General features: G+C 42.9%; 1 long non-coding RNA gene across 1 annotated transcript in view, besides 1 other annotated feature; it reads left to right on the forward strand.

The window, feature by feature from the left end:
* Window positions 1-70: a silencer, noted in NCBI's record as "silent region_20951". NCBI's record gives its function as "represses an Ori minimal core promoter by ATAC-STARR-seq in GM12878 lymphoblastoid cells {active_cell/tissue: GM12878}" and the evidence as "EXISTENCE:reporter gene assay evidence [ECO:0000049][PMID:35858748]".
* LINC01285 (long intergenic non-protein coding RNA 1285) overlaps window positions 203-23,949 on the forward strand; it is a 42,460-nt gene continuing 18,713 nt past the window's right edge. Inside the window, exons 1-6 of the long non-coding RNA NR_110393.1 lie at window positions 203-422; window positions 2,462-2,512; window positions 5,888-5,932; window positions 6,597-6,711; window positions 7,701-7,776; window positions 16,111-16,202. This is a non-coding gene — a long non-coding RNA (long intergenic non-protein coding RNA 1285). The remainder of the gene's footprint in view (window positions 423-2,461; window positions 2,513-5,887; window positions 5,933-6,596; window positions 6,712-7,700; window positions 7,777-16,110; window positions 16,203-23,949) is intronic.

Raw genomic sequence — 23,949 nt, forward strand, 5'->3', positions numbered from 1 at the left:
CGCGGAGCACGCCCTGGTGCCACCGGCGGGGCCATTTCCGCCGCGGGGGCCCAGACAGCGCCGCCGGCTCGCGTAGGGTCCAGCGGACCGGCAGGCTCGCCCTCGCGGTGCCAGCTCTGCTCTCTTCTGGTCACCAGGGGGCGCCAGAAGCAATGGTGCATCCCGAAAGGGACGGCGGCCACGTGACAGGGGGGTCACGCGCAGGGTCGTAGGGGACCGCCTGGGGATCCCCGGACGGCTGCGAGGAATGAGCGGTTGGCTCGGGCTGGTTTCCTCCCTCCACCGCCTGCTTGTTTCGCCATGCCCGGGCCGGACGGTGGGGCTGCAGCGGCGAAAGCGACTGAAGTCCGGGAGCAGTCGCATGAGCTTCCCGGTCACCAGGAGGCCCCGGGAACAGACACCTCACCCTGACATTGTGGCAGGTTTGGCCCTTCCCGCAATGCAACAAAGGAGGGACTTTGTCCCAGCCTTTCCCCTAGCCAGGAGAGGTGCTGTTAAATCCCTTTGTGCCTCCCCACCGGCCTTGGAGAGATGAGATTTCCCCTGTAGTACCCCAGGGGACGGGCCGACGGGATGGACTTTGTATCTTTTGGCTGATCTGGCCGGACATCCTTGCCCAATAAGCACTTACCCAGTTGCCCACCCTCCAAAAAAAGGAGAAAATCAAATCAGTAATTTGATCGATCATTTTCATAGATATGCTGTAATAGAACAATTCACCTGGTTGTGAACTGGGCTGGGGAGTTTCAAGACGTGAGTTTGTTAACTGACTAGTTTCTTGCTTGGTGTAGAGGCCTTAGGCACTCTCACACTTAAACCAGCAGAAAGGCCAGGGAGTATCTAGACTACACACTGGGGTCACTCAACTGGAAACACGTTGTACACCTCAAGACATCGTACAATTTCTCAGACTGAGATGCTGGCTGTGATGTCTATGCAGCACAGCCCCAAGTCCCAACTGACAGAAATGTCTCAGAAACTTAATTCACCACGGTCTTTTTTTTTTTTTTTTTGAGACAGAGTCTTGCTCTGTCGCCCAGGCTGGAGTGCAATGGCGCGATCTCGGCTCACTGCAACCTCTGTCTCCTGGGTTCAAGCAATTCTCCCGCCTCAGCCTCCTGAGTAGCTGGGATTACAGGCGCCCGCCACGACACCCGGCTAGTTTTTGTATTTTTTAGTAGATATGGGGTTTCACCATGTTCGCCAGGCTAGTCTTGAACTCCTGACCTCAAGTAATCCGCCCATCTTGGCCTCTCAAAGTGCTGGGATTACAGGCGTGAGCCACATGCCTGGCCTCACCACGGTTTTATTTTTGTTTTTGTTTTTTTTTGTTTTTGTTTTTGTTTTTTCTTGAGACGGTCTCACTCTGTCGCCCAGGCTGGAGTGCAGTGGCACGATCTCGGCTCACTGCAACCTCTGCCTCCTGGGTTCAATCAGTTCTCCTGTCTCCAACTCCCGAGTAGCTGGAATTACAGGCATGCCACCACCATGCCCAGCTAATTTTTGTATTTTTAGTAGAGACGGGGTTTCACCATGTTGGCTAGGCTGGTCTCGAACTCCTGACCACAGGTGATCTACCCGCCTTGGCCTCCCAAAGTGCTGGGATTACAGGCGTGAACCACTACCAGCAGCCTCACCACAGTTCTTAATAGAAGTAGTCTATTTGAGGAAAAACAGTTAATTTATAAAGAAACTGAATAATGTAATAAATTGAGGAATTTTTTCCCAGCCTTGTACTTTTTATACCATCAAATCCACTGACTTTAAGTGTACAGTTTAAAAAATAAATTTAGCCAGGAGCGGTAGTGCACACCTGTAGTCCCAGCTACTTGGGGGCTGAGGTGGGAGGATCACTTGAGCCAGGGAGGTTGAGGCTGCAGTGAGCTGTGATTGTGCCACTGCACTCCAGTCTGGGTGACAGAGCAAGACCCTGTCTCAAAACTAAACAAATAAATAAAAATAAATTTATGGAGTTGTGCAACCATCACCACAATACAGTTTTAGGACATTTTCCCTATCCCCCACGAATTCCCAGAAGCAGTTTGCAGTTAATCTCCTCTCTCATGTTTAGCCCTAGGCAACCATTTGTCTGCTTTCTGTCTGTATATAGTTGCTTTTTCTGGACATTTCACATGAATGGACTCATACAATATGTGGCCTTTTGTGTCTGGGTTCTTTCACTTAACATGATGTTTTCAAGGTTCATCCATTTTGTAACATTATCAATACTCCCTTCCTTTTTCTGGCTAAATAATATTACATTGATGGATATACCATATTTTGTTTTTCCACTCATCAGTTGATAAACATTTGAGTTGTTTCCACTTTTTGGTTGTTATGAATAATTCTGTGAATATTCGTATACAAGTTTTTGTGTGGACATGTTTTGGGTTCTCTTGGGTATATACCTAGGAGTGGAATTGCTGGGTTTTATAAAGTAACTGTATGTTTAACTTTTTAGGAACTTCTGGATTGCTTTCCAAAGTGGCTGCACTGTTTTCTATCCCCACTGGTAAATGTATGAGGATTTCTATTTCTCCACATCCTTACCAATACTTTCTTGTCTGTCTTTTTGATTAGTGTCTCATTGTGATGTTAATTTGCCTAGATTGAGTGACTTTTGGTTGTATTTGGTTTAGCTAGTTTCACTTCATTTAATGAATGCCTTTTTTAGTGTTATAAAAATTAGGAGCTGAAATGAATAATACATAGTCCTTCCTTGCAAGGAGCTCATAGTTCCTTCAGGAAGACAGACAACAAAACAATGACAGTATAGCTTGTTAAGTGCTCTGAAGGGAGTTGAGGACAAGATGCTCTGGGGAGCAGAGAAGAGGAACACTTAACCCTGCTTGAAGGCGGGTGGAGGAAAGTATTAAGGAAACCTTTTACAGAAGAGGAACACTTAACCCTGCTTGAAGGCGGGTGGAGGAAAGTATTAAGGAAACCTTTTCCAGAAGAGGACTTAATGTGCCTCTCGTTTTCTTTTGTTTATTTTAATCAAAATTATACAAGTACATACTGTAGGTTTTTTATTTGTTTTGAAACAGCATCTCGCTCTGTCACCCAGGTTGGAGTACAGTGGCGCGTGCAATCACAGCTCACTGCAGCCTCAACCTTCAAGCAATCTTCTCACCTCAGCCTCCCAAATACCTGGGACTACAGGTGCACACCACCATGGCTGGCTAATTTTTAAATGTTGTGTAGAGACAGGGTTTCACAGCCAGGCGCAGTGGCTCACGCCTGTAATCCCAGCACTTTGGGAGGCTGAGGTGGACAGATCACCTGAGGTCAGGAGCTAGAGACCAGCCTGGCAAACATGGCGAAACCTCATCTCTACTAAAAATACAAAAATTAGCTGGGCGTGGTGGCATGCACCTGTAATCCCAGCTACTCAGGAGGCTGAGGCAGGAGAATCGTTTGAACCCAGGAGGTGGAGGTTGCAATGAGCTGAGATCGCATCACTGCATTCCAGCCTGGGTGACAGAGCAAGACTCCATCTCAAAAAAAAAAAAAAAAAAAGAAAAAGACAAAAAAAAGACAGGGTTTTGCCATGTTGCCCAGGCTGATCTTGAACTCCTAGGCTCAAGCGATCCTCCCATCTCAGCCTCCCAAAGTGCTAGGATTACAGGTATCATACTGTAGTTTTTAAAAATCAAATAGTTCTACAAGATTTGCTTTTTTTAAAAAATGAATCATTTGCTTTCCTTCCCATTCCATGTTGCCCCCAAAAGCAACCACTTTCTATTCTTTTAAGTCTTTGAATATTTACCTGTATATCTTTAAAGAGCATATTTATATTTGAGAAAAAGAAGCCCCAACATAGGCCAATTAATATCCTCACTTGCACTGATTTTTAAATTGGTCAGCCCTATTAAATATTAACACATAGTTAGTTATGAAAGTGACGGTCACAATGCAGCCTACCTTCTGTCCATCTAAATGAAAGAAGACAGGCATGCTCAACAGTTAGCTACTAGAATAACTGAAGTAACACAATACATACTTTTAAAAAATGTGGGCTGGGCGCGGTGGTTCACGCCTGTAATCCCAGCACTTTGGGAGGCCGAGGTGTGTGGATCACCTGAGGTCAGGAGTTGGAGACCAGCCTGGCCAACATAGGCGAAACACCATCTCTACTAAAAATACAAAAAGTAGCCAGGCGTGTGCCTGTAGTCCCAGCTACTTGGGAGGCTGAGGCAGGAGAATCGCTTGAACCTGGGAGGTGGAGGTTGCAGTGAGCTGAGATCACACCACTGCACTCCAGCCTGGGCGACAAAAAAAAAAAAAAAAAAGTGGCTGAGGAATTGTTTTTCTCATTGGTGCTTTACTATCATATAGCTCCAATAAGCCAGCACCCAAATGTAACTGTCAATTATGAGGAATGTTATTTTCACTTAAACTTTAAAAGAAAAGCAAACCACAAACAAGCTGCATGATGTAGTATAGGAATTAGCAATCTATGACCTGTGAGCTAAGAATGTGTTTTCAGATGAATAGTGACAACAAATTTGATGATAGGGAACACTAATTTTCAACCCTAATGAAGCAAAATATTATTTTTCTATTCTAACCTTTTCATTAGTAGAACTGTATTATAAAACCTTATAGTCAATTGTTATTACTTTTTAAATTTCATTAATTAAAAATTTGTACAATTTTGTTTTCTCTCATTATGTAAATACTTATATAATATCCTCGATCTTGCTTCTTGGTTCATAAATTCTAAATTATTAATTCTCTGACCTTCACAGAAAAGCTTGCTAACTCCTGGTTTAATAGAATAAAAAGGGCTGGGCGCGGTGACTCACGCCTGTAATCCTAGCACTTTGGGAGGCTGAGGTGGGCGGATCACGAGGTCAAGAGATTGAGACCATCCTGGCCAACATGGTGATCAAAAGATCGAGACCATCCTGGCCAACATGGTGAAACCCCGTCTCTGCTAAAAATACAAAAATTAGCTGGGCATGGTGGCGTGCACCTGTAGTCCCAGCTACTTAGGAGACTGAGGCAGGAGAATTGCTTGAACCCGGGAGGCAGAGGTTGCAGTGAGCTGAGATTGTACCACTCGCAGTGAGCTGAGATTGTACCACTCTACCCCAGCCTGGCAACAGAACGAGACTCCATCTCAAAAAAAAAAAAAAAAAAAAAAAGGTATGGAAAGCAATTGACATGTACTTGCTGTGTGACCTTGGGAAGTCACTTTATGTCTCTGGTCTTTATTTTTATTATCTATAAAATGGAGCTAAAGGGTAATGGGTTGATGAGATAAACTCTACCATGAATCCCCCAGTTTTTGATTAATTAATTATACAAGTATTTATTGAGTTACTGTTATGTACCAAGAACTGTTAAATGCATTGGGAATACAGCATGAAACAAAATTTTTGTCCTGAAAGAAGACACTGTTCTCAATGAAAAGAGACTTAAGATGCAGTGTGTGGTCTGAGATTGGATCATGATTTAAACAAACTTGCTTAATGGGACATTTTTGGGAAAATTAGGGAAATTTGTATATGGATGGTTATTAGATGATGTGAAAACTTTTTAAGATGAAATGGTGGAGGTCATTAACTGAAAAGGGCAGTTGTAAAACATTTTGTACAGTATTTCATTTTTGGAAGAAAATGCGTATATGTATTACATATACTTAGAAAAAATATCTGAAAAGATATATACTAAGCTGTTAATGGTGATTTCTGTGTGATGGGAACACAATGTTCTATTTAGTTATTTTTGCTTTCAAATTTTTCACAATGAATATACACTGCTTTTGTAAAAATAAAAGATTGTTTCTAATTTAAAAAATAATCTCTCTTTTCACAAAGCTTATAGCTAATGCCTCTTGTAAGTATTCATATTGCCAATTTGTCACTTTTTTTTTTTTCAGGGCAGGAAAACATCTAAGAAAGGAGGCTCCCCCCTTCCCTTGCAGGTAACAAAGTATCGGGGTGATCTCTGTGAAATAGCTACTGAATGTAAACTGATGCTACTGGCATTCCTCTGGGACTTTTACTGATAAGTAGAGCTTTCATAGTCTTCCCAATTTCAGATGACTCGAGATTGAATTTCTTTTTCTTTCCTTCCTTCCTTCCTTCCTTCCTTCCTTCCTTCCTTCCTTCCTTCCTTCCTTCCTCTCTCTCTCTTTCTTTTTTTTTTTTTGACCGAGTCTCGCTCTGTCGCCCAGGCTGGAGTGCAGTGGCACGATCTCGGCTCACTACAACCTCTGCCTCCCAGGTTCAAACGATTCTCCTGCCTCAGCCTCCCGAGTAGCTAGGATTATAGGCACCCACCATCGTGCCTGGATAATTTTTGTATTTTTAGTAGAGATGAGGTTTCACCATGTTGGCCAGGCTGGTCTTGAACTCCTGACCTCAGGTGATCTGCCCGCCTTGGCCTCCCAAAGTGTTGGGATTACAGGCATGAGCCACTGCACCTGGTCTAGATTGGATTTCTTATCTTGCAAAGCCAAGGTGAAGTCCAGACCATGAAAAAGCAGAAAATGTATCAAGATAAATACTACCTTGTGAGCCCTATCAATAGTCCTACCAATAGCTTTCTGATATTGGAGGCTTTCAAATGAGATTTTTTTTTTTTAGGGTTACCAGCAATTAAAAAGAAGTACTAGAGAGGCAAATATCGGCAGTATACATCTAAGCGCTGGTCGGAAAAGAAGGAACTCAGCCCAAGAACTTGCCCAATCTGATACTGGAGGTAGGTGTATCTCTGTTGCATCCATGAACGCATCAGGCTACCAAAGCCCGATGTGATTAAGCATTTGAATCGTGTAACTGCTTCTCTTATTGTAGGCCAGGAGTCAGCAAACTTCAGCATGTGGACCAAATCTGGTCTGCCATCTATTTTTGTAAATAAAGTTTTATTGTTTATTTGTTTATGTATTGTCTATTACTGCTTTTACCCTGTGATGGCAGAGTTGAGTAGTTGGCAACAGATACTGTATATGACCTACAAAGCCACAAATATTTACTATCTGTCCATTTATTTATTTATTTATTCATTCATTCATTCATGAGACAAGGTCTCGCTCTGTCACCCAGGCTGGAGTGCAGTGGAGTGATCACGGCTCACTGCAGCCTTGAACTCCTGGGCTCAAGCAATCTACCCACCTCATCCTCCCAAGTAGCTGGGACTACAGGTGCGCCCCACCATGCTCAGCTAATTTTAAAATATTTTGTAGAGATGGGGTCTTACTGTATTTCCCAGGCTGGTCTCAAACTCCTGGGCTCAAGCGATCCACCCGCCTCAGCCTCCCAAAGTGCTGGGATTACAGGTGTGAGCCACCATGCCCAGCCTATATGGCCCTTTAAATAAAAAGTTTGTGGACCCTTCTTCTAGATTCACCAGAAAACTGCCTCAGTACGCATGCCTGTGGGAGAGAATAACCACTTATATTATTTTCTTTTTTTTCCCTATACATTTAAGTAGTGTTCCTTTCATCCAACGGAAAATGAAGAAAGGGACTTTCTTTGGTCCCTGCCTGTGTTCACCTTTGCCAAGGACCTTTCTCTCATGAATCCCTCTCTGCTCTTTTCAAGGAGGGTTTCAGGTTCTGTGTTATCACCCAAATTGTGACCTTTACAAAGCCCCGCTGGTCTGCTTGGAATTTCACATGATGTGCCCTTCTCTAGATTTAGGTCTTTACATGTAGTACTTGCTTATTTAAATTTTATTTGCCTTTCAAGGTGCCACTCAAGAACCACTCCCTCCAAGATGTTTTCCTGGATTTCCTCAGCCTAAAGTAATCCCTCTTTTTCCTGGGTGAGTTATATCTTTTAGTTTATTTCTCTTGTTAGGCTCACGTTCACTGATTTACATCCATACTCATTGCTTTGTGCTTATTTGTATTTGTGAGTTACATTCTCTACCAGATTTTAAATTCCTTGAGGGTAGGTACATATGTTGTTCAACTTTTTTTTTTTTTTTTTGAGACAGATTCTCGCTCTGTTGCCCAGGCTGGAGTGCAGTGCACGATCTCAGCTCACTGCAACCTCCACTCCCCGGGTTCAAACAATTCTCGTGCCTCAGCCCCCCGAGTAGCTGGGATTATGGGTGCATGTCACCACGCCTGGCTAATTTTTTTTTAACAGTTTCTTCATGTTGGCCAGGCTGGTCTCAAACTCCTGACCTCAAGTGATCTGCCCGCCTTGGCCTCCCAAGATGCTGGGATTACAGGTGTGAGCCACTGCGCCCGGCCTTTTGTTCAACTTTAAATAAATTATTTTTTCCCCATCATCAGATGCAAAAGAGGTTCAACAATAAAATAAATTGGTAAGTTCCCCCATATACTTCAGATCTAATCTTTAGTTCTCCAATGTTTCCACTGAGGATTTTTCCTGTGAAATGCTGGAGTCACTTCCTTTGTCCGTAGTGATCCTTGTAATTTCAAGCACCAGGCTATGATTTTCTATTCCATTGCTTTGATGGAGTTACTTCCACTAGGGGGAGCTCCTTACTTTGCTATATAGTCAATTTCCTTCTCTTTAGGAGACAAAAGAAGGGAGACTTCCTCAGACAAAATGTCAAAACAATGGTAGGAAGTAGCAACTAAAAACATCTCCTGGGGCTTGACTAGGTCTCAGCACTAGCTGGCTCCTCAAATGCCATTTCACTTGTCATATTGCAATTTGGTATAATTCTGGCCCATGTGTCAAGATTTCCCCCTACCCAATCTACTTCATTCATTCCATTTACAAATACATATTGAGTACATACTTTGTGTCAGGTATTGCTGTAGATGCTGGGGCTTCATCTGTGAATAAAACAGACCAAGTCCCTGACTTTATGGAGCTTATATTCACATATGGGCAGCGGACAATAAGTGAGATGAATAAAGAAAATATACAGTCTAGTAGATAGTCTAGTAGATAGATATTTATCTAGTAGATAAATATAAAAGAAAAAAGCAATGCAGCATCTTGTAGGCTATTGTGAGAATTTTGAATGTGATGGGAAGCATTGGGGAATTTTGAGTAGGGGAGTGATGTGATCTGACTTACATTTTATAAGGATTGCTGTGGTTGTTTTGTGGAAAGTAATTTTTTTTTTTTTTGAGACGGAGTTTCGCTCTGTTGCCCAGGCTGGAGTGCAGTGGTGCGATCTTGGCTCACTGCAAGCTCCACCTCCCGGGTTCACGCCATTCTCCTGCCTCAGCCTCCCGAGTAGCTGGGACTACAGGCACCCACCACTACGCCCGGCTAATTTTTTGTATTTTTAGTAGAGACGGGGTTTCACCGTGTTAGCCAGGATGGTCTCCATCTCCTGACCTCGTGATCTGCCTGCCTCGGCCTCCCAAAGTGCTGGGATTGCAGGCGTGAGCCACCGCGCCCAGCCTGTGGAAAGTAAATTTTAAGGGGGCAAGCTTGGGTCAGGGGAGGAACAGTGGACTTGGGGAGAAGTTGTTGGATTTTGGATACATTTTGAAGGTAGAGCCAACTGGATTTGCTAACAGATCAGATGTAGGATGTAAGAGGAATCAAGGAAAGCAGGGTCACCATATGGCATAACACTAATAGCATTGACAAAAATGTGACTGGTGCCCCCTGGAGTTCTGTAACACAGCATCTCTGTCCAAGATGATGCCAAGTCTTTTGGCCTGAATGGTCGGAAAGATAGAGTTGCCACTAACTGCAATGGTGAAGACTGTCAGATGAACAGGGTTGGGAGTGTGTTGGAAGCTCAATTTTGGATATGTTTAATTTGAGCTGCCAGTTAGACATCTAAGTGGGGATGTTGAATAAGCTGTGGGATGTATGAACCTGGCATTCAGAGGAGTGGCCTGGGCCAAAGATAAACATTTTTGAGTCGTAGGCATCTACATAGTATTTAAGGTATGATATGGACGAAATCACCAAGGAGTGAGAAGGGTTAAAGAGAAGGAGACCAAGGACCAAGCCCTGAGACATCTCAACATTTAGAGTTTAGGAACGTAAAGAGGAACAAATAATGGAGGCTAAGAAAGACTGGCCAGAAGGTAGAAGGCAAACCAGAAGAGAATGGTATCCTGGAAGCCAAGTGAAGAAGGTGCTTCAAAGAAGAGAGAATGATCAACTGTGAAAAATACTTATGGTTGGCCAAGTAAGCTGAGGTCTGGGAAGTTTTGGTAGAATTTAACAACTTAGAGGTCACTAGTAGCCTTGATAAAAGCTGTTTCAGTGGACAAAAGCTTGATTAGAATGGTTCAAAAGGGAAAGAGAAGAGAAAAATTGTAGACAGGGAGTATAGACAAATCTTTTGAAGATTTTTGTTTTAAAGGTGAGCAGAGAAATGAGGCAGTAACTCAAATGGTTTGTGGGGTCAAGAGAGGGTGTTTTGAGTGGGAGAAATAATTGCAAGTTTGCTCTAGGAGTACTTAGCGACAGTTGAGTTCACTTGTACTTATTCACCTGCATTTCTTGGGGGTAGTACCCAGTAATCCTCAGGGAAGGTAGCTATCACAGGAGGGGATGTTGCCAATAGGTTTGAGTGGAATGAACTCTAAGGGAACCCATGGATGCCCTTTAATAAAACTGAATTCAGAACCTCTGCAGTTAGCAGAGCAGAGAGTATCTTAATGTATGGAAAAAATCAGGGCTGTGAGGTCTAGCTATCCCTCTCACCCACATGGTGATTCCAGCCTCCTTTGCCAACCTTGAAAGATCTGGCCTCAAGTTACACTAAAGAGAGTCTGAGGGTCTCCTTCCAGAAACATTATCTATTGTATGGAAGGGAGAGGAAAGGAAGTTCTTACAGGTGCTGTGAAGCTGACTAAAACCCCAGGGAGTGTTTCAACTAAGTGGGAAACTTGACATAAAGATTCACTGGTCATTTCCCGGTTCCTTGGTGAGAAGTGGCCTCAGCAGTAGAAGACAGTATAGCACTGGGCTTGTTTCTTAGCTTTGTACTTTAGTAGTGATGGCTTTGAAAACACATACAAGTTTTACTGGTCTCCATGTAGCATTTTGGTTTGAATTTTTTTAAATTACTTTTATGTTTTTGAGACACAGTCTCACTCTGTCACCCAGGCTGGAGTGCAGTGGTGTGATCTTGGCTCGCTGCAACCTCCACCTCCCGAATTCAAGCAGTTCTCCTGCCTCAGCTTCCCGAGTAGCTGGGACTACAGGCACCTGCTACCACGCCTGGCTGAGTTTTGTATTTTTAGTAGAGATGGGATTTTACCATGTTGGCCAGGCTGGTCTCAAACTCCTGACCTCAAGCAACCTGCCTGCCTCAGCCTCCCAAAGTGCTGGGATTACAGGTGTGAGCCACTGTGCCTGGCCTGAATTTCTTTCCTATTCTCATACCTTCAAGGCCCAGCTCATATGTTACCTGCTCTACAGAGCCTTCTTTGAGCTCCCTCTCTGGCAAAAATAATCATTTCCTCTCTGCATCTATAGTATTTTTTCTCTTTCTTTCTCTTAGCACATATCACATTGCGTTATGGTTGTGTGGTTGTAAACTGATGAGGCAGTAGAGTGTAATGATGAGAGCATGGGTTCTGGAGCTAGGCTGCTTGTATTCAAATGGTGGCTCTTGCAAGTTGCTTAACCTCCCTGAGCCTCAGTTTCTTATCTGTCTCATCTCAGTTTAATAATAACAATATGACTGGGATCTCATAATAGGGATTTTGTAAAGATTAAAGAGATTAACAATGTGAAGTACTTAGAACAGTGCCCAGCACATAGTAAGTGCTTAGTGACCTTTCGTTATTTGTTTCTCTTCTTGCTGAGGAATAAGACCATATATATATATTTTTTTTTATATGGAGTCTCACTGCTTGCCCAGGCTGGAGTGCAGTGGCGCGATCTGGGCTCACTGCAAGCTCCATCTCCCGGGTTCACACCATTCTTCTGCCTCAGCCTCCCGAGCAGCTGGGACTACAGGCGCCCGCCACCACTCCCAGCTAATTTTTTTTTTGTATTTTTAGTAGAGACGGGGTTTCACTGTGTTAGCCAGGATGGTCTCGATCTCCTGACCTCGTGATCCACCCGCCTCGGCCTCCCAAAGTGCTGGGATTACAGGCGTGAGCCACCGCGCCCCGCCAAATAAGACCATATTTTTATCTTTTATATATATATATATATTTATTATACTTTAAGTTCTAGAGTACATGTGCACAATGTGCAGGTTTGTTACATATGTATACATGTGCCATGTTGGTGTGCTGCACCCATTAACTCGTCATTTACATTAGGTACATCTCCTAAAGCTATCCCTCCCCCTCCCCACACCCCACAAAAGGCCCCGGTGTGTGATGTTCCCTTTCCTGTGTCTAAGTGTTCTCATTGTTCAATATAAACAGAACCAAATACCATATTTTTATCTTTGTACCACTGATGCTTAGCACTGGGCTTGGCAGAGAGTACTGGGTATCTACTTAATCAATTTTTGTGTGAATAAACCAGATTTCTAAATCAACTTCAGTTCTTCTTTAATAGTTTCATAGGTATATAGCCCTTTTATGAGATCACTCATTCATTCCTGTGTACCACTCTGTGTAGTAGTTAAGAATGAAGGTTCTGGAGCCTGATCACCCAGTTTGTATTGTTGTTTTGCCAGTTATTGGCTGGATGAGATTAGGCATGATATTTAACATCTCAGTGCCTCAGCTCTCTCACCTGGAAAATGAGGAGAAATATAGGACGTTAAACATAGAGTTTCTGAACACTCAAAAGTTAACTATAAGTATTATTAATCTTATCAGCAATTAAGCGACTTAATGAACACCTACAATGTTCCAGGAATTGTGCTAACAGTGGGGATGCAGAGATGAATAAGGCTTGGTCCCTGCTCTCAGAAATCCTATAAGCTAGTGAAGGAAACAAGTGTGATCAAATCAGTATGTATGGAGCCTAGCAGAAGATGGGATCAATTTAACAGGAGGGAACAGTAACAGGAAAAGGCAGGGTAGTAAGACTTTATAGAGGAGGGAATTCCTGAGCTTTGCATCTGTGGGTTGACAGTCCTGGGATATTAATGTCAAGTACATATTGAAATCCCTTTTGTGGTTTATCAGAGATGAGTTTTATAACAGATTTCTCCCATCAGATTTTCTTTTTTGTTTGTTTGTTTTTGTTTCACTGAAAGCATTTACCTGGAAGATTTTCTTAATAAGGCCACTTAACAAGAGGCCTCCAGACGGTGATGATCTCTGTCCTCACTTGGCAGCATGGTGACTGCACTGCCATGCAGCTCCTCCGTCTCACCTTGCCTTTTGAGAGATCTGGCTGGTTTTAGGAGCACTGTTACTGGATTCAACATTGCATCTAGACTTGAGAATTCTTTGTTCACATCTGGTTTGAAAAAGAATGTTTGAATGGCTTCTGTCTGTCCTGTTTGCTTGGAAACAGAAACAGGGCTAATTGTTTTATGGAACCCTCAATCTGCTATTTGAATGAATTTTATGATAAATGCATATAACCAAGACCAGTATTGATATTGCCTTCTAGTTTGGGGGCCTAAGAAAAATTTTAATCCTTCTCAGAAAATATGGAATTGTCATGTCAATAAATCTTGTCCAATGCCTAAAGAAAAAGCCTCACCCTGGCTGGGTGTGGTGGCTCACGCCTGTATTCCCAGCACTTTGGGAGGCTGAGGTGGGTGGATCACGAGGTCAGGAGTTCAAGACCAGCCTGGCCAAGATGGTGAAACCCCGTCTCTACTAAAAATACAAAAAAAAAAAAAAAATTAGCCAGGAGTGGTGGTGAGCACTTGTAATCCCAGCTACTCAGGAGGCTGAGGCAGAGAACTGCTTGAACCCGGGAGGCGGAGGTTGCAGTGAGCTGAGATCACGCCATTGCACTCCAGCCTGGGTGACAGAGTGAGACTCCGTCTCAAAAAAAAAAAAGCTTCACCCTGCCTTTTGAATCCCAGAGAACCTGTTCTGGGCCAACAATGCACCACCAGGCTTTCCCAAGTGCACCAAACATAGTTTTGAATAGTTTTCCTTGGGCAAAGCTCCTCTTTCCTTTTGAACTTCAGCCAGAGGGCCCTCACAGGCAGAAGACTAAATTTCAGATGCTTCTGTCTTGCCCTCTCCCTCCCTCTCAATAAATTTTCTGAAAAAGTTGGCATTTGGATTCTTCTTTTCCCACCCTAACAATCAGGCAGGAAGGAAGTAGAGAATAGCATATGTTCTAAGAAAAGGCTGGTGCCCCTTTCTAGCTCACCCTTTTAATAGAGGCCTCTTAGAGATGGTGGGACTGGAGCTACAATTAAATTTTTGAGATCAAAGACAGGGTGCAGATAGATGAAAATCTTAATGTCTTTTGTCTCTCAGAAAACCAATAGAGCCATCGAAGCTTGTCTAGTTCCCCCAAGTAGTTAATGAGAACAATAGAATTTTGAGTTCCTGGTGTTCTTTGGAGCTGATTTTGGCAAATGACAAGCAGTTTGTAAAAGGGCTTATTATTCGAGTAGAGCTTTGGCTGCCTGACTTTTAAGGTTGATTATTTGTTTTGCATGTTGTATAACAGGAGTGTTGGGCAATGCTCAGAAGAGGTTTTTGGGGTCAGAGATGTAAGGACTTCTCTGACTGTCTTCTCCCAACAGAACCAGATTCCAGCTGCGGAGCAAGAGGCAAGCTTGTACACAGGACCAAAGCCATGGCTTTTGTATAGCCCCTTACCACCAGACAGGCCTTTTCACTGGTTCCTTTAGGGGGAGAATATATCAAAATTTCTATCAAGTCAGTAACCCAAGAAAAATATTTCTCTGTGTATGTAATTTCTCAAACTTTCATTGGTGATGTGACCTGCTTTTTAAAGAAACATTTTTAAGGACATAGTTTGGTCTTTTGCAATAAACAGTTGTATATGGGGTCCCTGTCAGCTCAGTAAGTAGATGCTCTGAAAGGTAGAGCCTTCAACTGGTTATAGTGAAAAACAGCTAAGAGAGGTCTTCCCTCATTGGTGAAGAGTGCCAAGTGGATGTTGTCCCAGCCCTTTTGTTTTCAAGGTTTAAAGTGTTGTGCTTCCTGACCAGGTGCAGTGGCTCACACCTGTAATCCCAGAGCTTTGGGAGAATGAGGCAGGTGGATCACTTGAGGTCAGGAGTTCGAGACCAGCCTGGACAACATGGCAAAACCCTGTCTCCACCAAAAATACAAAAAAAAAATTAGCCAGGCGTGGTGGTGCACGCCTGTAATCCCAGCTACTGGGGAGGCTAAGGCAGGAGAATCTCTTGAACCCGGGGGACGGAGGTTGCAGTGAATGGAAATCGTGCCACTGCACTCCAGTCTGGGTGACAGAGTGAGACTCTGTCTCAAAAAATAAAAATAAAAAAATAAATGAAATGTTGTGCTTCCTATCTTATGCTGGACCTGCTGGCTCACTGAGAGATAGAGAGGCAAATATTAGACATTTTGGAGACAGTGAATGAAGGATGTTCCTCTCCCTCCTATTCTAAACTTTAAAAGTACACTGAGCCAGGGCCTACAAGAAATTGAGATTTTTTTTTTTTTTTTGAGATGGAATCTTGCTATGTTGCCAAAGCTGGACTTGAATTTCAAACAATCCTCCTGCTTCAGCCTCCCAAGTAGCTGGGACTACAGGTGCTTGCCACTATCAGATGGCTTTGATAAACAGAAACTTAGTTGTGTCTCCTTTTTTGTTTTTTAATGGGAACCTAATATATGAGGGAGTTCTGTGTATAAAGGCTATAAACTAGCATTTGTGTCCAGTGCCATCAGTAAAATGGGAAGTAGCAGAAGGAGATGATAGGTACCTAGGAAGAGATTTCATGAGCTATTCAATAAATTTTGGATGCTTTTTGATATTTGGAAGATGTGTGTCCTTAGGAGAGATGGCCTCTACACTTGAAGTTACTAATTCATGGCAAACCATTCTCCTTCAAAGACAAAGTTTTGCTGAAGAGAGTCTTGGGAAACATGAAATCTGATCATCCTGGTAGAGTTTGTGTCTCTAAAAGGAACTATACATTGTGGGTGTGAGTAGCTTAATTTCTTGCACTAAAGTCTCTGGCACCCTAAATGAAACACTGCTTTGGTGCCTATATTAATCACGATAGGCTAGACCGATACAGTGACAAATAGCAGAGGTTTATTTGTTGCTCACATAATGTTTGATATAGACTGGTTGGTCCTCTTCTGTCTTGTAGCTATACCATCTGGAACAGATGACTTCCAAGGACACCGTAGCAAAGAAAAAGAGAACTGGAAGCCCATGTGCCTTAATCGCTTCATCCTAGAGGTAACACAGAACTTCTGCATACATTTCATTGGCAGGAACTAATCACCTAACCCCAATTTAACCACAAGGAAGACTGGGATATGTAGAGGCATAGCTAGTAGATTTCACGTCTATTAACAGTCTCTGCTATACCCCCTCAGTACCAACTGACCACTAACTTCCCACCCCACTCACCAGGAATGTATAGCTGCTGATGATTTTCGAATTCGGTAAGAGACTGGATTGTGAATATCAGACCACCTCTTCAGTCTAACAGACAGTGCTTGTTTTACCTAAGGTGAGGAGACAGCACAGGCAGTACTCACTTGTTTGTCAGTTACAGTCCTTTTCCTCTCCCTCTCTCATTACTCACCATGAAACACACATTGTCCCTTCTACTTCTGTCCCAAGCGTCACACTCATAAGAACATAAGAAGTGCCCCCAGATCAAACAAGAGTGCTTGAATAGAAAGTGAGATATTTCTTCTTTATAAGGTTGACCTTACAAGGCTGAGGCAGGCTATGCCTAATTATGTAGGGACCCTAATGTCTCATGGTTGTGTCAGCATAAATTAATTAATGATTAACCCTCTAACAAGGCTAAGTGAACAGAATTCCCCAGTGTCCTGAGAGAAGGAAAGTTAATGTGTTCTTTCTCCCAGGAGGAGGATAACCAGTGGAGCCTTTTCTGGATTTCTCACTAGAAGTAAAGACCAAATTTCCAGAAGGAACCTGAGAGATAAAAAGTGGTTGGCTGCTCCTGACCTGACTCATAGTGTTTAACTGAACCATACCACTAGTGTATACTAGTGTGTGTGTATGTACATGCATACACACATGCACACACACATTCACACACAATCCTATGGTATTTGGTGACTTTGGATGCCCAGCTCTTGCAACAATTTCCTGCTGTCATTCTTTTCCCTTTGAATCTCAGGGGTGAGCAAACTAAAGAAATACTATCATCTTACTGCTTTTAGTATATTCCATAGAAAAGGAGTGGCTGGAGTCAGTGTAGATCAACCCAAGCAGTACAAATCTGCCAGAATTGCAGCTCAGCTTCCTTACCTCCAGCATGTGTACCTTTCTGAAGGGTAGGCCCTTAAGCCAGACATAAGTAAGTTATCCACTCTGTGCATAACTGTCTGACTTGGCTTAGAAGCATGAAAGGGGCAGAAATGTAAGATGGGTAAAGAAGGGCTTCATCTGAAATAGGGCCATGATGATTAGCTCTCTCTTTCCTTCCTTTGGCTTCATTGCTGTATTCCATGTGGGTCTTGATATCTTGAAACTGGATGAGATACCCAAATAGTCAGTCCCTGAATATAAATCATTTCCTTGTACAGAATCACTGCCAAACTCAGTATGGTTAAAAGATTTTTAACACCCAGCTGCAGCATTCACTCTGGTTAGAATTGGCCATTTAAATTTATTTCACATATGTAAGTATCATATCCTTTATAATGCATTCTTAATTGTTGCTCAGTTCTTCCAGATTGAATTCCTTTAAAAAATTCCTTATGTAATCTTTTAATTCTAGTTGGAAAACATCACTTGACAGTTGCTGTTTATACAGGCATGCCTCGTTTTATTGTGCCTGGCTTTATTGTACTTTGCAGATACTGTGTTTTTCACAAATGGAAGGTTTGTGGCAACCCTGCGTTAAGCAAGTCTGTTGGCACCATTTTCTCGACAGCATGTGCTAACTTTGTCTCTGTCTCACATTTTGGTAATTCTCTCAATGTTTCAAACTTTTTCATTATGATTACATCTGTTATGTGGAGCTGTGATCAGTGATCTTTGATGTTAACATTGTAATTGTTTTGGGGTGCCACAACTGTGCCCAGATAAGACAGTGAACTTAATTGGTAAATGTTTTATGTGTTCAGACTGTTCCACTGACTAGCCCTTCTTCAAACTCTCTCACTCTCCTTGGGCCTCCCTATTCCCTGAAATACAACAATATTGATATTAAGCCAATTAATAACCCTACAATGATTTCCAAGTGTTTAAGTGAAAGGAAAGACATGTATGTTTCACCTTAAATCAAAAGCTAGAAATGGCCAGGCGTGGAGGCTCACGCCTGTAATCCCAGCACTTTGGGAGGCCAAGGCGGGCGGATCACAAGGTCAGGAGATCGAGACCATCCTGGCTAACACGGTGAAACCCTGTCTCTACTAAAAAATACAAAAAATTAGCCGGGCGTAGTGGCAGGCGCCTGTAGTCCCAGCTACATGGGAGGCTGAGGCAGGAGAATGGCGTGAACCTGGGAGGCGGAGCTTGCAGTGAGCCGAGATCGCGCCACTGCATTCCAGCCTGGGTGACAGAGCGAGACTCCATCTCAAAAAAAAAAAAAAAAAAAAAAAAAGCTAGAAATGACTAAGCTAAGCTAAGTGAGGAAGGCACGTCAAAAGCCCAGCGAGGCCTCTTGTGCCAGCCAGTTAGCCAAGTTGTGAATGCAAAGGAAAAGTTCTTGAAGGAAATTAAAGTGCCATTCCAATGAGCATGTGAATAAGAAAGCAAACAGCCTTATTGCCGATATGGAGAAAGTTTTAGTGATCTGGATAGAAGATCAAATGTTTTCTTAAGCCACGATATTCCCTTAAACCAAAGCCTGCCTAATCCAGAACTGGACCCTAACTCTCTTCAATTCTATGAAGGCTGAGAGAGATGAGGAAGCTGCAGAAGAAAAGTGTGAAGCTAGCAGAGGTTGGTTCATGAGGTTTAAGGAAAGAAGCTGTCTCCACAACACAAAAGTGCAAAGAGCAGCAAGTGCTGATGGAGAAGCTGCAGCAAGTTATCCAGAAGATTAACTAAGATCATTGATAAGAGTAGCTGCACTAAACAACAGATTTTCCATGTAGACAAAACAGCCTTATATTAGAAGAAGATGGCATCTAGGAATTTTTTTTTTTTTGAGATAGAGTCTCACTCTGTTGCCCAGGCTGGAGTACAGTGGGGCGGCCTCAGCTCACTGCAACCTCCGCCTCCTGGGTTCAGGTAATTCTCCCTGCGCCAGCCTCCCAAGTAGCTGGGATTACAGGCGCCCGCCACCATGCCCAGCTAATTTTTGTATTTTTTAGTAGAGATGGGGTTTCGCCATGTTGGTCAGGCTGGTCTTGAACTCCTGACCTTAAGTGATCTGCCTGCCTCGGCATCCCAAAGTGCTGGGATTACAGGCATGAGCCACCGTGCCCGGCCAGCATCTAGGATTTTAATAGCTGCAGAGGAGAAGTCAGTGCTTGGCTTCAAAGGTTCAAAGGACAGGTTGACTCTCTTGTTAGGAGCTAATGCAGCTGGTGACTTTAAATTGAAGCCAATATTCATTTATCATTCTGAAAATTCTAGGGTCCTTAAGAATTATGCCAAATTCTGCTTGTGTTCTCTAAATGGAACAACAAAGCCTGAATGACAGCACATCTGTTTACAGCATGGTTTTCTGAACATGTTAAGCCCACTGTTGAGACCTACTGCTCAGAAAAAAAGGTTCCTTTCAAAATATTACTGCTCATTAACAATGCACTTAGTCACCCAAGAGCTCTGATGGCTATGTACAAGGAGATTAATGTTGTTTTCATGTCTGCTAACACAACATACATTCTGTAGCAGATGGATTAAGGAGTAATTTAGACCTTCAAGTCCTATTTTTTTAAAAAATACATTTTATAAGGCTGCAATGGAGCTATTCCTTTGATAGATCTGGGCAAAGGAAATTGAAAACCTTCTGGAAAGGATTCACCATTCTAAATGACATTAAGAACACTCATGGTTAATAGGAGGAGGTCAAAATACCAACGTGGACTGTAATCCCAGCATTTTGGGAGGCCAAGGCGGGTGGATCACTTGAGGTCAGGAGTTCAAGACCAGCCTGGCCAACATGCTGAAATCCTGTCTCTACTAAAAATATAAAACATTAGCCGGGTGTGGTGGTGGGCGCTTGTAATCCCAGTTACTTGGGAGGCTGAGGCAGGAGAATCTCTTGAACCCAGAAGGTGGAGGTTGCAGTGAGCCGAGATTGTGCCACTGCACTCCAGCCTGGGCAACGGAGTGAGACTCCATCTCAAAAAACAAAACAAAACAAAACAAAACAAATAAACAAACAAAAGACAAAAAAAAACCCAACATTAACAGGAGTTGGGAAGAAATTTGATATGGTTCAGATCTGTGTCCCCACCCAAATCTCATGTCGAATTGTAATTCCCAGTGTTGGAGCTGGGGCCTGGAGGAAGGTGGTTGGATAACGGGGGTGGTTTCTCATGGCTTAACACCATCCCCCTTAGTTGCCGTCATCACATACTTGTGAGATCTGGTTGCTTAAAAATGTGTATCACCTCCTCCCCGCTCTCTTTCTCCTACTCTGGCCATGTGAAATTACTTGCTCTTCCTTCGCCTTCTGCCATGATTGGAAGCTTCCTGAGACCTCCCCGGAGGCTGATGCTGCCGTGCTTCCTGTACAGCCTGCAGTACTGTGAGCCAAATAAACCTCTTTTCTTTATATATTACCCAGTCTCAGGCATTTCTTTATAGCAATGCAAGAATGGACTAATACAAAGTTCATTCCAACCTTCATGGATGACTTTGAGGGGTTCAAGACTTCAGTGGAGGAAGTCACTGCAGATGAGGTGGAAATAGCAAGAGAACTAAAATTAGAAGTGAAGCCCGAAGATATGATTGAATTGCTGCAATCTCATGATAAAACTTGAACAGATGAGGTATTGCTTCTTATGGATGAGCAAAGAAAGTGGATTTTTGAGATGGAATTTACTCCTGGTGAAGATGCTGTGAACATTGTTGAAATGACAACAAAGGATTTAGAATATGACATAAACTTAGTTGATAAAGCAGTGGCAGGGTTTGAGAGGACTGACTCCAATTTTGAAAGAAGTTTCACTGTGGGTAAAATGCTATCAAATAGCATGGCATGCTATAAAGAAATCTTTTGGGCCAGGTGCAGTGGCTCATGCCTGTAATCCCAACATTTTGGGAGGCCGAGGTGGGTGGATCACGAGGTCAAGAGATTGAGACCATCCCGGCTAACATGGTGAAACCCCATCTCTATTAAAAATACAAAAAAATTAGCTGGGCATGGTGGCACATGCCTGTAGTCCCAGCTGAGGCAGGAGAATCACTTGAACCCCGGAGATGGAGGCTACAGTGAGCCAAGATTGTGCCATTGCACTCTAACTTAGTGACAGAGCAAGACTCTGTCTAAAAATAAATAAATAAATAAATAATCTTTTAGGCCAGTCGTGGTGGCTCACGCCTGTAATCCTAGCACTTTGGGAGGCTGAGACGGGCAGATTGCCTGAGCTCAGGAGTTCCAGACCAGCCTGGGCAACACAGCGAAACCCCATCTCTACTAAAATACAAAAATCGGCTGGGCGTGGTGGCGGGCGCCTGTAATCCCAGCTATTCAGGAGGCTGAGGCATGAGAATTGCATGAACCCTGGAGGCGGAAGTTGCAGAGAGCTGAGATCTTGCCACTGTACTCCAGCCTGTGAAACTCTGTCTAAAAAAAAAGAAAAGAAAGAAAGAAGGAAAGAAGAAAGAAAGAAAGAAAGAAAGAAAGAAAGAAAGAAAGAAAGAAAGAAGGAAAGAAAGAAGGAAAGAAGGAAAGAAAGAAAGAAAGAAAGAAAGAAAGAAAGAAAGAAAGAAAGAAAGAAAGAAAGAAAGAAATCTATCTTTTGGAAAGGAAGAGTCAATTGATGTGGCAAACCTCACTGTTGTCTTATTTTAAGAAATTGCCCCAGCCACCCTAACCTTCAGCAACCACCACCCTGATCAGGCAGGAGCCATCAACCTCAAGTCAAGACCTCCCACCAGCAAAAAGATTATGACTTGCTGAAGGCTCAGATGATCATTAGTATTTTTTAGCAATAAAGTATCTTAAATTAAGGCATGTTTATTGTTTTTATAGGCACAATGCTATTGCACAATTAGTACACTATAGTATAGTGTAAACATGACTTTTATATGCACTGGGAAACCAAAAAAATTGTGTGACTCACTTTATTACGATATTCACTTTATTACAGTGGTCTGGAACCCAACCCACAATACCTTCAAGGTATGCCTGTATTTCCCCTTTCTTTCCCAGTAACAAAATTTTAATTCTTCAATTTCACATTTTCCCGTCTTCCTCTTCCTATTTTGATCTCTGCTGTTGGTTGCCACTTTCTTTGCTAAGTTTCCTTTCCTTTCCCAACATCAAATCCTAAGTTTTATTCCCTTTTCTGTATATTTAATTTCAGTTATTTTGTGCGATTTCTAGCACAACTTTTAAGTAACTGAAGATATATAACTCTGAGCCAGTTAGAATCCCTTAGACTTATGTGATCCTTCCAAGGAGTTCAAAGTAATTCACCTTAAAAATTAAACTATTCCACTGTAGTACTTCATTTATCATCTCCAGATATCTGGAGACTAGGTAGGGGCGACTTTTACCCTTCCTATTTTAAGAATGGACAAATCGAGATTTCGAGATGATAAATAACTTTTCCATCATCATTATCCTGCTGGTTCTTTGATGTCCAGACCAAAGTAATGAAATGATGACCTGTGAATTCTACATTATTACCTCCTTCCTTGATTAAAAATGACACTGGGACAGGCTGAGGGAGACTGCTGTGCATTGTATGGGAGTGAATAATCTGGCAGAGGCAGAACTCTATAGTTAGGCATCCCTAAAAGGCAGGGACCCCAGCATCTAAACAATCCTCCTTTGATATCCTGTGTCTGGCTGGGCCTTTGGCATCTGGCCCAGCGCTCCCAGCAGAACCCTGTGGTAATCCTTGCCTACAGAGTATGGGGATGCAGTGAGCATTTAGCTGCCAAGAATGTTATAGACAATAGAAATAGAGAAGTTTCAAGTGTTCCTTCCTAGAGTAGCAAGTGACAGCTTAGGATGGGAGGGAGAATGGCCTTCTCTATAGCTTACCAAATGAGTTAGTGACTATGAAAGTGGTTTCTAAGTAGTAAAAATATGGAACACACGATGGTTATTGCTGTGACATTATAAATTGCCTGTGTTGTTTTTCCCCCAAGGTTTGTAAGAAGACCACAGAGATCTCAAATATTGCTACAGTCATGAGCTCAGCCTCCTGAGTAGCTGGGATTACAGGTGCCCGCCACCACATCTAGCTAATTTTTGTATTTTTAATAGAAGTAACACTTACAGTTCCCCTAGGCACAATGCAGAGATTCTCCTCTGTGGAAGTTAGAGCAAATTCCCCAGGCTAGTGTTACCCCTGCTTTGTCAGCACTTACTTCATTTTCTGAAAGAAGAATCTGGCGTGGCTTCATCTTTATTCCTAATTGTTCTTCCCAATTTTCTGTCATTCAAAGCCTTCTGAGCTCTAGGGAGTTGAGTGGAGGACAGGGGAGCTTGAGGCATGGCCTGATCCCAGGCTTATATTCCATAGTACAGCATTTATCCCCAGGTCGGGCCTCTGGCATCCTCTGCTCTCTGAAAATCTGCTCCAAATCTGGATGGAAGAAACAGTCGCAAACTCCCTCAAACACACAGAGGTAGCCTTACAGCATTAAAGGTCTGTTATTCTTCAGACATTTTCTAGTCCCTTGTTTATAACGTAGCTCTAAAGAGTCCTGTAATCTGGTTACCTAGCTGCACAGATTAGAAGCAACAGGCAGATATATTGCAGTGGGGGAGGGAGGGAAGAAGCTCAGACAAACTGATGGAGGAAGTGCCTGCTGAAGGCCTGAAACCCTGGGAGGAGGCAGGAAAACAAAATAGCATAACGTAATG

This window comes from Homo sapiens, chromosome X (assembly GCF_000001405.40).
Source record: "Homo sapiens chromosome X, GRCh38.p14 Primary Assembly".
In the NCBI taxonomy this organism is placed as follows: Eukaryota; Metazoa; Chordata; class Mammalia; order Primates; family Hominidae; genus Homo; species Homo sapiens.